Source organism: Homo sapiens, chromosome 9 (assembly GCF_000001405.40).
Source record: "Homo sapiens chromosome 9, GRCh38.p14 Primary Assembly".
Taxonomy (NCBI): Eukaryota; Metazoa; Chordata; class Mammalia; order Primates; family Hominidae; genus Homo; species Homo sapiens.
The window spans coordinates 100,802,687-100,820,710 of NC_000009.12; the positions used below are offsets into that span (position 1 = coordinate 100,802,687).

Here is an 18,024-nt window from a genome sequence, read left to right on the forward strand (position 1 = left end):
TGCTTCCTATCTCTCACACAGCCTATAAGCAAATAAATACATATTTTTTCCCAAGTCACCCTGCCTTCAAATGAATCAGGGCTGACTCCTGCCTTACACCCTTGAACCTGGTTTCTTCGGTTGGGTGTGTAGTGCAGTGGATTGTTTTCATGGCCAGACAACCCCAGGCTTCACTGCTTTCCAGCAGAGTGACCTTGGACCTGTTACTTAACCTCTCTAAGGCTCAGTATCTTCACCGGTAATTTTGGGTTACTTACATCTATTGTATGAATTAAATGATATTAACTGTCCAAAACACTTGGCAAACAGAAGGTGCTCAATAAATGTTAGCATTTTGAAATTTCATTTTCTTTTATTCTCTCACTTTTTGGTCCTAGCACTAATGTGACATGTGCATTTCTATCTCAGCAACTTGCAGAGAGAAGATGGCATTGATGTTTTTTGTGCTTAGAATATATGGTATTATTTTGGAAAATTTTATTGTGAATTATTAAGTCTGCATTCTCAATGTCCTCAAAGTAATTTAAACAAAGCAAATGTATAAAAGTGTATTAGACAGGGTTCTCTAGAAGCACAGAACTAATAGGATAGATGTATATATGAAAGGGAGTTTATTAAGGAGAATTGACTCACACAATCACAAGGGAAAGTTTCACGATAGGCTGTCTGTAGGTTCAGGAGCAGGAAAGCCAGTAGTGGATCAGTCTGAGTCCCAAAACCTCAAAAACAGGGAGGCCAATGGTGCAGCCTTTGGTTTGTGGCCAAAGACCCGAGAGCCCTGGCAAACCACTGGTGTAAGTCCATGAGTTCAAAAGCTGAAGAATTTGGAGTCTGGTGTTCGAAGGCAGGAAGCATCCAGTGTGGTAGAAAGATGAAGGCTGGAAGACCCAGCAAGTCTAGTCCTTCCACGTTCTTCCTCTCTGCTTTATCCTAGCCATGCTGGCAGCTGATTAGATGGTGCCCACCCAGATTGAGGGTGGGTCTGCCTCCACTGACTCAAATGTTAACCTCCTTTGGCAACACCCCCACAGATATACCCAGGAACAATACTTTGCATCCTTCAATCCAATCAAGTTGACACTCAGTGTTAACCATCACAGCAAATACTCTGTGGCATTTATTTTCAATAGCTTGAGTGCCCTCACATGCTCTTAATAGAAAGCAAAAGCTGCGGAAGCTGGCCTGGCTGTTAGGAGGTGCTATTTAAAGCCTCAGTGGGACAAAAATGACAATTTTAAAATTGATTGTGGAGTGTGATGATGCCAAGTAGTAGCAGAAGCCCAGGAAACCTGTCACATGGCAAATGTGTTACCAAAAGCCTTGAGTCTACAGAGGTTTTAGAAGAGTTTTATTCACAGGGAGCTTTTGCCATATTAATCTCCAGATTTCACTTGTGCTGTGGATGGAACGTGCCACTGCAGAGGAATCTCAGGCTGCAAGCTGGGGATCTGGATAGGCGGGGTTTCCCCTGTGTAGAAATCTTTGCCAGGCTTCCAGCTGAGCTTAGCTACATGGCAGGTTTATGCCTGGGAATAAATGATTTCCTTGAGAAGTGGCTGTTTTTGCTGCACACAGTTGTTTTACAGCAGTTTGGAAGCCTGCTCTGCCTCTGACTAGCTTGTAGGGTAACATAGTCCCTGAATCTCAGTTTCACTGTAAAATGGGGATAGTGATACTGATCGTGTGGTACTTTAAAAAAAATTTGTGGCAAGGTATGTAAAGTTCCTACATTGGTGTTTGACCTATGGAAGGTATATGGATACATTTCTGCTGTTATCATTTTTGGTAAGATTAATACAAAAATAATCATTGTGGTAGGCAGAATAATGGCCCTCCAAAGATGTCAACATCCTAATCCCTGGAAACTGTGAATATGTTACTTTTCATGGCAAGAGGAACTTGGCGAATATCATTAAATTAAGAACATTTAAATTGGGAGATTATCCTGGATTATCTGGGTGGCCACAATCTTATCACAGGCCCCCTTAAAAGTGGAGAAACTTTTCCTGCTGTGGCCAGGGGAAAAGATGTGAGGACAGAGTAGAGTCAGAGACATGCTATATTGCTGGATTTGAAGATGGAAGGAGGGGGCCTAGAAGCCAAGGAATGTGGGTGGTCTCTAAAGGCTAGAAAAGGCAAGGAGATGATTCTCTCCTAGAGACTGTAGAAGGAACCAGCTCTACCAACCCCTTGATTTTAGTCCAGGGAGATCCATGTCAGACTTCTGAGACATAGAACTATAAGGGAATATATTTGTGTTGTTTTAAGCCACTAAGTTTGTGGTGATTTGTTATAGCAGCAATAGAAAACTAATACAGAATTAGAGACTGTCAAGAGTTTGTGCCATTGTAGAAAGGATGAGGCTCACAGTGCTCTGTATCTGGACAAGCTAGTAGGGTCTGTGCTCAATTCTAGTCCCTTTGAGCTCAGTAAGAGTCTTTGAAACCCTACCAGTTTCTCTTCTGGGCAAGAGATGTGGTTTGCTTCGTAAGAGCTGAAATGCTTTATTAGACTCAAAAGAATTTGAATCTAGTCTGAAAAAGTCACGTTACTGATATTTGAAAGTTTGGAATTACCATAATCACACAAATCTCTTGTTTCCACTGTGAATAAATAGCAATAGAGTTTTGCCTCATTTTAGGTTATCATTCTGTGGATTGAAAACAAAAAAACAGCCTAAAATTTGGAGTCAGTAGATGTGGCTCTGAGTCTCACTGTTCTGGAAAAATAAATCATATAATCTCCAATCTCGATTGTAGCATGGGGATGATAGCACCTGATTTATCTATCTGTTGTGTGAGTCAAAGGTAATGTGAGTGAAGATGCACTGAGAACTGGCCCTCTACACAAACGTCAGGTGTAATAATTATTATATTTATTATTAGTAGTATTATGTTGTCATAGAACCATGGAATGTTAGATCAAGGAAGGTCATTAGATGTCATTTAACCCACAAGCCTTGGTGAGGTTAAATAACTTAAAAATGTTCTCTTGGCTCTATAGTGTCCACTTTGAGACATGGCTTGAATAATCTTTGGGAAGGGGCCAGGCTGGGAGCTTGATCTCACTTAAATGGTACAGGCTGGGAGTGGGAAGGGATACAGTTGTAAGAATTAAGAGGCCAAAAGATCTGGTCATAGAATTGGCAATGAGTTGGGAGGGATTGGCAATGGGAAAGGATGGCCAGGTGGGGCTCAGTCATTTGGGGAAGTAAAGAGTAGAGTGGAATGAAGTGGCACCAGTTATGGAGAGGAGCCATTTGCTGAGTGGGTAATCAAAAATGGCCTTGTAGTTAGTGAAACTAGGAACATAACTTCGTGCTTCTGACTCAAGTCTTGTGTTCTGCTCAGTATATACAGCTGAATATTATCTTAAATTCAGTGCAAATTCCGTTTATATCTGAATATTAGTGCAAAGTTATTTAATTATCACTTGAAACTGCTTTATATGTGGCTTCTAATGATTCTTCACCTGGCTTTTTGAAGGGATAAAAGATGGACTTATTCTGAATTTTGTTCAAAGATTAAAGTATTGTGATCAGATTCCAATGAATGGCCTGCTTCATCAGGTCATTTATATGTGATAATTTCAAGTTCCCAGCACTTGAATCTGTAATCTATGGTCCTGAACAGTTCTGTCTTAATGTCCAGATATACCACAGATAGTAAGGCAAAAAACCCCCCATACAAACAAAAGTTCTTTACAGGGCAGTAGGAATTCTATATCATTTCTGGCTCTCACGGTCTCCTTAATGTACACATACTCACATAAATACATACACGCCTCACAGACCACATATGCACACACACACCATGTGTGTACACATTCGCATTTGCACACATATCACACATGCACACACTGTTGAAGAGAATTATGATATCACCGGTTTTGGGACCCTTCGTATATTTTGTTTTCAGGATAATACACTGAAGTTCAGTGTATTACTCTGAATTTTATCCCAATGTATAAATTTTATCACAATGTATGCTATATAGAAATGTGACCCATATGCAATTTGTTTTCCTAGATTGTATGAAATGGCCATTTGCAAAAGAATATAGTGCAAGATGGAAGAATGAAGTGACCACCTCTAGATTCTATTCTAACGGTAACAGTTCTTTGTAATTTTATAAGGATGTAGAATCCAGAGAGCTTTTATTTTCACTAACTCATTGTATCCCCAACAGTCCTGTATAAATGACACTCAAAAAGATGAAGGGAATTGACCAAGGTGTCAGAGTTCAGTCTAAAAGAAAGGACAGCTGGCTTCTTTTTTATAATCATGAAGCTGCTTTCCTCAGCTAGTTGCTGAAGAACCCAGCAATAAAGACAATTTAAGTGAGGCTTAACATTAATGTTTACATATAGATTATGTTAGGGTTTCCTAATCCTAGGTATTAAACATGTTTGCTATATAACAATGTAAAAAATAGGGAAAATAGGAGGAAATTACCATTAGAGATGATGATTATCAACATTTTTATGTATTTATTTGAAAATGTTTTCTTTTTTTTTTTTTTTAAAAGATATCATTATCAATTTTATTAACGGAGAGGGAGGGCAGTAGGGGAGAGAGGATGGAGGGGAGAGAAAAGAGAAGGAGGAGACAGAATGAAAGAGAATGAAGAGAAAGAAGAGGAGGAAACGACAAAGAGGAAGAGAGGCAGCAAGGCACAGGGAAATGAATGTGGAGTTTTGTGTTTTAATTAACTTCAAGAACACTGGATTGGGAATACTCATAATAATTTATTAATATCCATCATTTGGAAACTAGAAAGGAAAATGTTTTCTATGCATAGAATTTCTTTGTCATTTTGTTTATTTATTAGGTAACACTGAAGAATAACTTTTCTTATATTTTCAAAAACATTTTGTCATACATTTCCAATGTTAAATTATCTTTAACATCATATTTAATAGTTGTAAAATATTCCACCAAGTGGTTGTACCATAATTCACTTAGCAATCCTTGTTTTATTATTTAGATTGCTTCCAGTTTTTTGCATATCCACATTTCGATTCAGTTTTTCAGGATAGATGTCAAGAATTCGGATTATTCTTGGCTAATTGCAAATTGAGTATTTTTAACCAAATTGCTTGTTAAAGTGTTATACCAATCTATTTTTCATATTGTAGAAATGAAGCAAATTTAAAATGGAATATTGTTCTTAAAATACCTGTGGCACAGGAAATTTCTAACTGGTCACCTTTTCCCTACAGGACCCAATGTCTTGTTCAGCTCCCTTCTGCCTACTACAAATTCCATCTCTAACCTTAGACTGCTCATCCCACCCACAAATTTCCATTAATTTCTAGGGCATAAGAGTTGGTTTTACTTTACTATAAGCCCTTAAGACCTCATCTTTGTCAATCAAAATAGGTTATCAAGTATTTTTATAAAAAAAGTTAGTTCCCTCCTTAAGAGGGAGCCAGCTATTAAGATTAATTTTTTTCAACACCCTGTATCACTCACAAATGCCTTGAAAACATTTATTTATTTGTTTGTTTAGGCTGATGGATTTCAGGATCTTAATATGGATAAAATTTCTAGTTACAAAAGGTATTCTAAGACCAGGCATGGTGGTACATGCCTGTAATCCCAGAACTTTGGGAGGCTGAGGCAGGCAGATCACTTGAATTCAGGAGTTCAAGACCAGCCTAAGCAACATGGCAAAACCTCATGTTTCTATGGGGGTTGTAGAAACCCCATCTCTACAAAAACTACAAAAATTACCCAAGTGTGGTGGTGTGCACCTGCAGTCCTAGCTACTCAGGGAGGCTGAGGTGGGAAGATTGCTTGAACTTGGGAGGTTGAGGCAGTAGTGAGCTGTGGTCTTGCCACTGCATTCCTGCCTGGGCATCAGAGCAAGACCCTGCCTCAAAACAAATAAAAAACAACAACCCAAATTAGATATTCTAAGGAGAGAATCACCTGCAGGAAGTGGTGAGTTTTGTGCTACTGGAAATATCCAAGCAGAGGCTGGAGATCACTTGTCAGGACAATTGTAAATGGAATTCAAGCAACAGCTGACCATTGGCTAGAATAGATGACCTTGCAGATCCCTATGATATTGAGAGTCCATGAATTCATAATTTTATATCTTCTCTAAATATTAAATCACTTATTTATTGGTGTCCCTTTAATTACAGGCAGGTATAAATTGTTGGACTAATAGGTTGGATCTCATGTCATGTTGTTGCTTCACCTGCAGTTCCATGTGATCAGCTCTCTCTGGCAAGGTTCCTCTTGATGGAGTTCTTTCAGGTCATTTTTATGCCTCTGAGACATTTCAGCCCTTTTACTATTTTAGGAACACATTTCTAAATTATACAAGTCTTTCCTGACACAAGGGCTGTAACACCTTGCCAAGAGGAATTCTCCATGAATGGAATAAATGAAGAGAGATAGCCTGAGAAATACGTGTCAGTGCAGCTGTTCTGAGTTCCCTGAATTTATCTCAGTTTGAAGCTAAGGATTCCTGACGCTCAGGCCACATGATGCTTTTTGTTTTTGGAGTTAGTTATATCGGAAGAACACTGGCACTTCAAACAGCATGGGGTTGGAGAGGAGCTGGCATGATAGCCAGCCCACATCCATCACCAAATCACCTTCACTGGATGTTCACATCACCCACAACTTGGAATTCAGCATCACATTTCTGTTCAGAGTAGCTGAGGAACACAGTATCCTGATTTGATTATGTTATCAGGTTGATGCAAAAGTAATTGCGGTTTCTGCCATTACTTTTTTTTTTCCTTTTCTTCTTTTCTTTCTTTTAATTCTTATTTTTTTTTTAAGTTCTGGGGTACTTGTGCAGCATGTGCAGATTTTTTACATAGGTAAATGTGTGTCATGCTTGTTTGCTGCACCTATCAACCCATCACCTAGGTATTAAGCCCCGCATGCATTAACTCTTTTCCCTAATGCTCTGCCCGCCCCCCTGCCCTCCCCTGACAGACCCCAGTGAGTGTTGCTCCCCTCCCTGTGTCCATGGGTTCTCATTGTTCAGTTCCCACTTATAAATGAGAACATGTGGTGTTTGGTTTTCTGTTTCTGCATTACTTTGCTGAAGATAATGGCTTCCAGCTTCATCTAGGTCCCTGAATAGGACATTACATTTGAATGGCAAAAACTGCAGTTACTTTTGCACCAGCTTAATACTTTGCTCATAGGCAGTCGCCTATGGCTCTTTCATACAAGCCAAGAATAAAATATCACAAAGAACTCTGGGTGACAGAAATCCTGGGACCTAAAGTGTATCAAAATACTTCAAAATAAATATACCTTTTATCCTGACAATTTTTCTTCTAGGACTGTATCCTAAGGAAATAATGAGACAGATGTTCAAGCATGCCCAATTGTAATATTTCTCAATATCTCAAATCTGCAACTTTCTTCAATATCCTCAAATAAACTGTTTATGCGAAATGAGGTACATCCAGCCCATTAAGGATCATGTTGTAGAAAAAGATTTAGAGGCATAGAGGTATTTATGATACATTTCTCAGTAAAACAACCAGGCTACCAAGTAATTAATAATATTTTTTGTTAAAAACACATATGTATTTTTAAAGAGTGTATTTGATGTAGAAATAATAGTAATAGTTAATGTACATTGAGTGAATACTGTGTGTCAGGCACTACCCAAGTTGCTTTAAGTGTATTAAATAATTTAATTCTTTACAAAACTTGTGAGGTACTATTATTGCCCCTATTTTACAGATGAGGAAACAGGCACAGAAACCTTAGATAACTTGCTCAGGGTCACTAGGCAAAACAGTGATTCAATTGGGAAAAACTTGGCTCCAAAGTCTGAGCTGTTAACCACAACTACCACTGCTTAGACAGACTAAAAAGACAACCTCTGAAGCTGAATGTGATTTCCTATATGTATTGTTTACTATAAATTATATATACATATGTACACATATATTATCCACATATATGATACATATATGTAAATATTGATTATAGAAATGTGATTATATATGTGTTGTTAAGATTACAGGTAATATTTTTTCCTTTGAGCATTTATAAACAGGATAACCACACTTACAAAATAACATTACACAAAATACAGAATCTTGGAACCACAAGTAGTGGCTCTCAAATTTGGCTAACTAATTTGTCTGTACAAACAACATTAATTTAACTAGAAAAATAAATACAACATAGTTTTGCTGTGTGGATCCATCACTATTTGATATTCATGACTTAGCTTTGAGCCCATCAGCCCTCTGCTCCACAGAGAGAGCAGGAGAGCAGAACCAAAGCTTCTCATTTTCACTGTAGGTTTGGCCCTTAATTGGTCTCAGACCAGTGTTGACCTAGGCTGTTTGTATTGAGCAGTTGTCCTCCTTTCTTGTGTTGAAGGTCTCAGAATTGCAGAATGTTGAGGCCTGGAGCAGTATTTCTCAATTGAGGGTGACTTTGTTCCCCAGTGAACACTTGGTAATGTCTGGAGACATTTTTAGTTGTAACAAATGGGGCAGAGGTGCTCCTACTGGCATCGCGTGAGAGGCCAAGAATGCTGATCAACATCCTACAAGGCTCAGAACAAGGGGTTATCTGGCCCCAGTGTCTTAGTGTTGAGATTGAGAAGCCCTGCCCTATAGGGATGTCAGAGGTCATCTACTCCCATCACCTGTTTGGGAGGCGCTAAGATGACTCCCAGATGCTTTGACTTCCCCAAACTCACGGCTCTCTTCTTTCTGGCAGAATTCAGGAAGATGTATCTCTACACACACACATTCTGAGTTTTATGAGATGTGTGTAATGAAAAGGCCATGGGCACTGGGGTCAGACAGATCAGATAGCCCTATGCTAGGAACCTGGCCTGACCAATTACTACTCTGTGTGATGGTGGCAAATTATTTAACCTTTCCAAACTTCAATTCTCTCATCTGGAAGCTGGGGACAAGAATACTAACTTCCCAGGAGTTTGGTGAAGATTTTATGAAATGCTGTTTGTGAATATCTTGCAGAGTACCATTATGTAATGGGTGCTCCAAAATGTTTATTTCCTTTCCACTTTATCCTGAGGAAGAACATTTGTGATCAGGTTAAATAGTCACAATATAAAGAAAACATGAAGTGAGCCACTGGGCACAAATTAGGCTCTTACAAGTTGATATTGTGCAACATCAACTTTTACAGGTCTGGCTAATGCGGAATCAGTGCCTGGAAAATGACCAGCTTGCTGTGCAACTCATTGTTGGAGCGGGCATGGAAGTTGGCCTCACCTGCTTTTTCTAAGAGCAAATTCAGCACTGACTGTAGCAACTTGTTTTGGAATTACATTTGCCTCCTGCTTCCGCTCCTTCCACATCTCTATTAGCTAACTGGCTTAGACAAAACAGAACTGTGTGATTATTATAGTTACAATATTCATTAATACTTATGTGATGTTTTCTATGTGGCAGTTATTGTTCTAAATACTTTAAATATGCGAACATCTCATCTTTTAAAAAATACCATCTTTATTGAGGTATAATTGGTATACAGAAAACTGTACACATTTAAAGTGTACAATTTGATGAGGACATTATGCTAAGTGAAATAAACCGGTCACAAAGGACAAATACTAGGTGATTCCACTTATATGAGGTATCTAAAGTTGTCAACTCATAAAAGCAGAGAGTAGAATAGTGGTATCCAGGGGCTGAGCGAAGAGGGAAATGGGGAATTGATGTTCATTGGATGTAAAGTTTCACTTATACAAGATGAATAAGTTCTAGAGGTCTGCTGTACAACATTGTGCTCATAATTGTCTTATCTTTACATTAACCCTATGAAAGAGGCAGTAGTAGGCTGAATAATGGCCGCCAATGGTGTGCACATCTTAATCCCTGTAACTTGTTAAGAATATGTGATTTTATATGGCAAAAGGGACTTTGCAGAGATGATCAGATGGAGGACCTTGAGATGGAGAGATCATCCTAGATTACCTGGGTGAGCTCAATGTAAGCACATGGGTCCTTCCAAGCATAGGGCCTTTCCCTGCTGTGGTCACAGATATGCGAAGATAGAAGAGAGTCAGAAACATGCTCTACTGGCTTCAAAGATGAAGGGAGGCGGGCCATGAGCCAAGGAGTGCAAGTAGCCTCTAGAAGCTGAAAAAGGCAAGGGAACAGATTCACCCTTGGAGTCTTTAGAAGGATCTAACTCCAACTACATCTTGATTTTAGCCCAGTGAGACCAATTTTGGACTTTTGACCTCCAAAACTGTAATATAATAAATTTTAATAATAGAAAATCGAGGCTTGGTGAGATGAAGAAGCTTGGCAAGGTTTGCATGGTTAGAGCAGGTCTGAACTCACAGTGTGGAAGTGAGAATGGAGAGAAAGGGGTGGAAATGAAGAATCTCTTAGAAATAAAAGCAAATAAAAGGGCATTTGTGAATGATTGGAGACAGCATTGAAGGAAATATTTTTCATTTCATGTCATTAATTTATCTGAAAGACTATTCTAAATATAGCCTATTTAGTGTCCACACGGTTTTGATTTTTGTTCAGTCATTCAATGAGCATTTATTGAGTAGCTGCATTAAAAAATTCACTGTTGTAAGCATGGCAGGACTGTGTATATTACACGTACATTATATATTACTTGGTCTTGACTTTTAAGGAGCTTATAGTTTAGTGGAATTTATTCAAGGATCCTGGAAATATTGTTTCAAGCTTGGACAATTGAATGTCCTTTCCTAGAACTTTGGAACTTGAGCAAGTGGGACAGGACCAATGAGTGGCAGTCCTTTGAAGTTCTTCATAACCTAGAGCCTCTTCTATCTACAGGATGGACTAAAGTTCCTGCCTCTTTGCTTCCTGGAGCTTGGTTGGTTTCCATCTATTTCCAAACCTGGTTTTCCAGGCTTTTATTGATTCTGTGTGCCATTGAAATCCTTTGAAATCATTCCCCTTTCTTATATTAGTCAGAGTTGATTTCTTTGGCTTGCCTTCCTTATGTGCTCATATTTCAGCTTTCTTATCTTTGGTTTTTCCACATCCCAGGAGGGTGAGTCTCCTGCCTGTTCCATGGAGCAGGAGGCTGGGTCTACAGTGCAGTTTGGTTAGCTGCAGTGGTACCTGGGGAGCTCCCACCCCAGCTCAGAAGAGGCAGGGGTCCCACTTGTACCTGGCTCCTGCCTGCTAGGAGGAGCAGGAGACCTGGGTCTGCAGCCGGGGATTGGGTGGCTGCAGCTGCACCCAGGAAAGCAGGGATCCTGCCTGCTCCTGGCACCCCTAAGAGCACAGGGAGGCTCAGATATGCTGCCACAACTTGGGCAGCTGCAGCTCTACCAAGGAGGGTGGGGCTACTGTCTGCTCCATGAAGCGGGAAGGCCCCCCACCATCCCCATGGGGGTGCCACTCCTACTGCCTGGCCTCTCTCTGCTCCCAGCACCTGCCCCAGTCTTGGAGCAGGGCTGGGGCCAAGCCCAGGTGCTGTCACAGCTTGGCTGGATGTACACACGGCTCAGGGCAGTGCTGACATGCCTGCCCCCTGCTGCCTTGGCTCCCTCTGGAATTTGGGCAGCAACCAGCATGAGAGGGGAAACTGAAGGGGAGCTGAAGGTGACTGGGCACTGGCCTGCAGGTGCCCCTTGATGAAAGAAGCCTAGGCACCATGGATGGCTGCTAAAGGCTGACAGGTTCCTGGGTGGAAGAGGGAGGGTCCTCAGTAAGGCCCCACCTTCCGGCCAGGGAAGGCCTGAAGGTTGGGGGCTGGGCTGCCAGACCTGCCCACTGGAGTGGGGAATTGTGATGCCTTTTCCAGGCCTCCCATGGCTGCCCATGGACCAATTGACATGCACTACCTCCCCTCTGATGTCCATAAAAGCCCTGGGCTCAGTCAGAGCAGGGTAGAGGACAGAGAGAGGATGGGAAGACCAGCTGTAGAGAGGAGCTACCCTCTCTGCTGAGAGCTTCAGAGAACTTCAGGGATGTCAGGACTACCAGCTGCAGAGAGGAGCTACCCACTCCAGGGCCTCCCCTCTGCTAAGAGCTAGGCAGACATCAGGCTGATCAGCTACAGAGAGGAGTCTACCCTCTCCAGGGCCTCCTCTCTGCTGAGAGCTGAGCACTTGATGGGACGACCTGCCTACAGAGAGAAGACCCACTGCTGGTATCCTCTGAGTTGTTCTAACACTCAATAAAGCTCCTTTTCATCGTATTCACCCTCCACTTGTCTGTGTGCCTCATTCTTCCTGGATGCAGTACAAGAACTTATTCAAAGGTACCACTGGCCAGAGAGGTTTTGAGCCAGAAAATTGACACCCCAAAGATCCCGAAACAGTCATATAATAATGGATCAAAAAGACCCATTCACGTTGTTACTAGCTGAAACCCTTCTCTTTTTTGAATCAACAATGTACTAAAGTTCTCAGGATTTTCCCCTTCTGGGGCCCCCTCCTTCCCCTGAAGATGTTATGGCTCACACCCAATTCCCACTTTCCTTAGCATTTCTGTAATTTTTATAAAGAATGGGAAATACTGTTCTTTGCCTGTTTGTTAAACAAAGATTATGTTTCCCTGTTTTTTTCTGATCATTCATCTGTAATTTCAGAGGCTGAGAACAGGCTGACTTTAAGAGATTGTATGGACTTGCTCTTTTACATCAGAAGTGAGAAAGAAGAAGCTGGTTATGCAGTACTATTTTATTACTCCTCCTTAGGTGCTTGCATTTCTACTGCCTATGCTATTTCTACTTGGCTATATCAGAGAGTCCTCAGACTCTAAAACTATGATCTTCTTCTCTAACTCCCTTCCCCCAAACTAATCTGAAGCCAGCTCCTTCTTCAATCATCCTCTGAACCTGGCAATCATCCTTTTCATCTCTTTCTCTTTCAAACCCATCATCACCAGTTCTGCTCTTAAATAAATCTGAAATGTATCACATTTATCCATGTTTATTGCTACAACCCTAGCCCATGCTAATGGTATGTTTATCCTGGAATATAGACTCCTGAGAGATGTCTTTTTAGGAATCTTTTAGTAGCAAATACAGAAAACAGCTTAAACAATAAAAAACTTTTATCAGTTTATATAATTGAAAAGCCCAGAGTTGGGGTAGGATTCAGGCAAGACTTGATTGAGCATATCAACATGTCAACAAAATTCTGGTTTATTCTATTTCTCCTCTCAACCTTCTACTGTTTTATCTTGCTGCTGAAGCCGGCTCACAATGTCAAACAAGGGGGTTGTCAGGAGGTCTTAGAGCTTCATGCTTCTTTGTTCATGATCTTAGGGAAGACAGAACATCTCTCTCAGCAGTTTTTATAGAATGGTGACAAAGCTTCTTTTCCAGTGGTCTTTGTTAGAAAACACCCTCTCATATCCCATTTGCCCAATTTGGGTGATGTGTTTTTTGCTGTAGTCAGAGGGATGGATTTTGCTGACTGAAGTAACTAATTAAGGCTCATTCTTTGAGTTAAGGTAGGATAAATCTTATTTCAACCACATGGCCAGGAATGTCACAGGGGAAATTACCTGAAGGATTTTGAGGAAGTGTTAACTTAGAAGGAAGGTAAAAGGCAGCATGCATGAGATATCCACCACACTATATTTACTTTTGCCTTCATTCATTTTTTCTCCACAGTCTAGGTAGCGTAGTCTTTTAAAAAAGAAAATTGTGTTGTGCCACGTCTTTATTTAAAACTGCTCTTTGGCTTCACTTTCCTCTTTGGATAAAGATAAAATTTAAAAAGTCCTTATCATGCCTTACAAGTCCCACTGTGATCAGGCCTTGCCTATCCCTCCAGCCTCATCTGTTGCCACCATCTGCCCTTGGTAACCATCCACTCACAGCAGCTGGCTCTTGTTCATTGTCTTGGATTTTCACAGCTTTTACCTGTCTCAGCACCTTCAAATATACTGTGTCAGCTACCTGGAATGGTCTTACCTATACTCTTCACCTGGACAACTTCTATTTACCCAAGCTTCTCTGTTTTAGTCCTTTTTACTATTTAAAATAAGTTCTAATGAGGTTGTCTACTTAATGTTTGTCTTTCCAACTAGACTGTAAGCACCATGAATGAAAAGGCAGGGCTTACACTTTTTAAAAACCACAGTGTCCTTGGCATCTAGCATAGTCCTCGGGCCTTGTTTGATGAAGAGACCCACCATTTTCACTCTAACATCAAATAAAACCTCTTACCTGGTTTCAACAGCGGTTCCTCCATCTGCCTCTATTTGTTCATTTGTCACATGGGACATCATTACCCACCTTGCTCTTCAAAGATCCACCACTTTAAAGAGCGAAGGTGTCCTCATATATATTCTGGGAAAAAGACATTTATCTGTTGAAGACGTTATGAAATTAAATTAGCTAAAGTGTGTATAAATGCCTAGAGCACTTGGTATAGTCTGACAAATATTTGCTAACTTAAAATTGGAATCGGTATTTGGAGAACTTTGCACCAGGTATCTGTTCTAGTATTCACTAGTTTCCTGGAAAATAGCTGAGAGACCCTTGGAAAGTTATTTTGCCATTTATCTTTATAAATATTTTTTGAATCTCAGGACGTGTGGCATTTTCCCAGGCTATTCGGGGATAGGCAAGAAAGGGAATCTAGAATACCGAAGAGAGAACTCTGCAGAGCTGTGAGTCTTATTTGCACTTCATCCCAACTTGACATTAATGTACATATTTTACACTGAGATTGTTTTCTATTATTAAACTCTGAATCTCATTATATACCAACCTGCAAGGTCTTTGTGAAGGATTTTAGTCCTTTGCTCTTGTTTTCATTTTTCAGGTTGTACTTACGCTTGGCTGGATTTCTTTTTCAGATTTCCTTTGTTAAAGGCACTGTCATAAAAAAATCTTTTTACATGAATTATTGTTTCAAGAAGGGTTTTCTTAATGTATTTCTAAATATTCACTAAGGTTAGTGAATAGGAAAGGAGCTACTAATGTAGGTGGGCATGTTAACATTCATTGTCATTTTATTATTTTAAAACACTTTTTATTCTAAAAACAATGCATGTTCACTGTAGAGAATTTGGAAAATACAGACAAGGGGAAAAGGCATTTGTAATCTTATCACTCAAAGATACGGTTGACATTTTGATATTTTTGTCTTACAGACACATTCACACACACACATACGCACCATTTCAAATAACCAGAAGAGGGTAAAAATATTCAACAAGTTTTTTAATGTGTTCCACCCAACAATAAGTTATAATCACAATGAATTCTCTTATTAGTTTCTATACTTTCATCATTAGTTTTCTTGTATTTAGACCTATCATACAATATTTTTTACAATATTTTTGCCAATATTTATAACACTGATTTTGTTTTCATGCCTAATTGCATTGGCTTTCCAGGATGATGACAATTAATTGTGATAATATTAGCTCATCATGCACCTGGCTTTAATGGAAATGTGTTTAACTCTGTGTATGCTGTAAATTCTTATGCACACACACATATGAATTCATAGCATAACAGAGTTAAGCACATTTCCATTAAAGTCAGGAACATGATAGGCTAATAACTCATATGCACACACACATATGGATTCATAGCATAACAGAGTTAAACACATTTCCATTAAAGCCAGGAATGCTATGAATTGATAATGCATGTGTGTACATCTGTATTTTTGTCTTACATGAGAGTACAAGATTGGTTGGAGAAGTGAAATAAGTTACCATCAGTAAAGATTAGGAGACTGAATACACTTAGAACAAACAAATTGTTCCAGCTTTTTGGAGTTAAGAAAAGTTTAAAGGTGAAGGAAACCTAAAGGCTGACTCATTGCTGTCCTTTCTGAGACAGTAACAACTGGTAGAAACTCACCTCAATGCCATTTTTGGGAGAGGCAATTATGAGTTGGGAAGTAGCAGGGGAATAAGTCACGCAGAATCCCTTTTGCTGTCTTGGAGCAAGAACACTTGAAGGCAGCTCCAGGATCTGCACAGTTGCTAAATCAAGCAAAAGGTTGGCAGCACAGCAGGGCCTTTGTATCCAACAGAAGGCCCAGGGAGGAGGCTTAGGAGGACCAAACCATGTTACAGGCCCAGAGGCTGGGCTAAGTACCATTTGACCTAGCAATCCCATTACTGGGTATATACCCAAAGGATTTTAAATCATGCTGCTATAAAGACACATGCACATGTATGTTTATTGCGGCACTATTCACAACAACAAAGACTTGGAACCAAGCCAAATGTCCAACAATGATAGACTGGATTAAGAAAATGTGGCACATATACACCATGGAATACTATGCAGCCATAAAAAATGATGAGTTCATGTCCTTTGTAGGGACATGGATGAAGCTGGAAACCATCATTCTCAGCAAACTATCGCAAGGACAAAAAACCAAACACCGAATGTTCTCATTCATAGGTGGGAATTGAACAATGAGAACACATGGACACAGGAAGGGGAACATCACACACAGGGGGAGGGATAGCATTAGGAGATATACCTAATGTTAAATGACGTGTTGATGGGTGCAGCACACCAACATGGCACATGTATACATATGTAACTAACCTGCACGTTGTGCACATGTATCCTAAAACTTAAAGTATTAAAAAAAAAAAAAGCTCTCAAGAGAAAGCTGGCCTCTGTCACAACTGTGTAACGGAACATGAGAAGAAAATGACACATGAAGTTTCCTTGCTACAGCTGCCATCGGTTCTCTGAACTGTGATGTAAAGGCGCATAAAGAAGCATTCATGTTTACAACTGAAGAAATTCCAACAACAATCAGGTGGGCAGCAAGGGAAAACTTAGGCCTCTTCTAATTACAGAGTGAAAAGTAAAGAAAAATCAATATGGGATTCTTCAAAAATAGGATGGCAAAACAAAGACATTAAAAATGCAGAAGAAGGACAAACATTTTGATACAAATTTGCTGTAGGATTTACAAAGTATTTTGATAACATCTGTTTCTGGGATTAACTAAATACTTCGTGTTTCAGTGACTCTGTGATAAAAGATAAAAGACAATATAATGAAGCATTATATTAAGAATGAACAAAAGAGTATCTTGAAAGGCATGCAGAAATAAAGACCTGGATTAGAGTTTAATTAAATTAAAAATATAATTTCAGATTTAAAATCAGAATTAGAAGGACATAAAGCAGAAAAGATTTTAGGAAATTACATAATATATGCAGAAGACAGTTTTGAGATGCTTTCTTGGAATATAGAAAAAAGGCCATGAAATGTAAAGATGATAGGAAAATGTCAGATATGGCAGATATTAAAAATATAAATACATGCCATATAAAGAAATCAGGAGAAAAGGAAAATAAGTTGTGTTAAATAATTTTTACTCAATGGAAAACCCCCTGAATCTGCAGGTCAAAAGGGCTCAGTGTACCTACAGTGAAAATCCTGGTAAGATGAATAAATTTCATGGACAAAGGAAGAATCAATAGTGAGGACCATGCCACCTGGAGCTTCTTTCTTCACCACAGATCAATAGCGTTTGGACATGGCTGTGATGAGGCTAAGAGAGTAACATGGCGATACCAAATAGGAAACCAGCAGGTGTCAGGCTTTTTCTTGACATGACTTCCCACTAATGAGATGGGGTCACCCCAAAAATGATGGGCAGTAATATCAGCAAGAAGGATTCCCTCAGTCATACTGAGTACAAGGAATGGAGAATCAAATACAGAAAGGTGGTTGTGGCTTCTCAACAAAGAAGTGGTTACAGAAAGACAATTGCTGAGATTTCCCCTAGTCCCAGATCCTCTGTCAGGCTGAAAGACTGTGAAAGCTTTTTTCATTTTAGAATTTAAGAGGACTTTAATGGTGTTCAGGGCATCAGGGAAAGGACCTAGGAAGAAATTAACCAGATCATTTTGAGAGTAAATGAAAGTCCAGGTTAAAGTTATTTTCATTCAAAGATGAAAAATAAAGCCAAATAAAATAGAATGGCATCTGACATAGAAACTATAAAGTGATTCTGAAAGATAAAATAAGAAAAGTAGAAAGAGGCAGAAGAAAAGCATGTTTTTTGAGAATAATTTTCAGCAAGAAACAGAAGTGCTCCTACG

The 18,024-nt window shown here is 39.6% G+C and overlaps 1 long non-coding RNA gene across 2 annotated transcripts in view; it reads left to right on the forward strand.

Annotated features, from left to right (window-relative positions):
- The first annotated feature begins 2,986 nt into the window (after positions 1-2,986).
- Positions 2,987-18,024, forward strand: part of LOC105376179 (uncharacterized) — a 46,949-nt gene continuing 31,911 nt past the window's right edge. For both annotated transcript variants that reach the window (XR_001746575.1, XR_930178.2), the window contains exons 1-3: positions 2,987-3,075; positions 4,028-4,108; positions 14,518-14,598. This is a non-coding gene — a long non-coding RNA (uncharacterized LOC105376179). The remainder of the gene's footprint in view (positions 3,076-4,027; positions 4,109-14,517; positions 14,599-18,024) is intronic.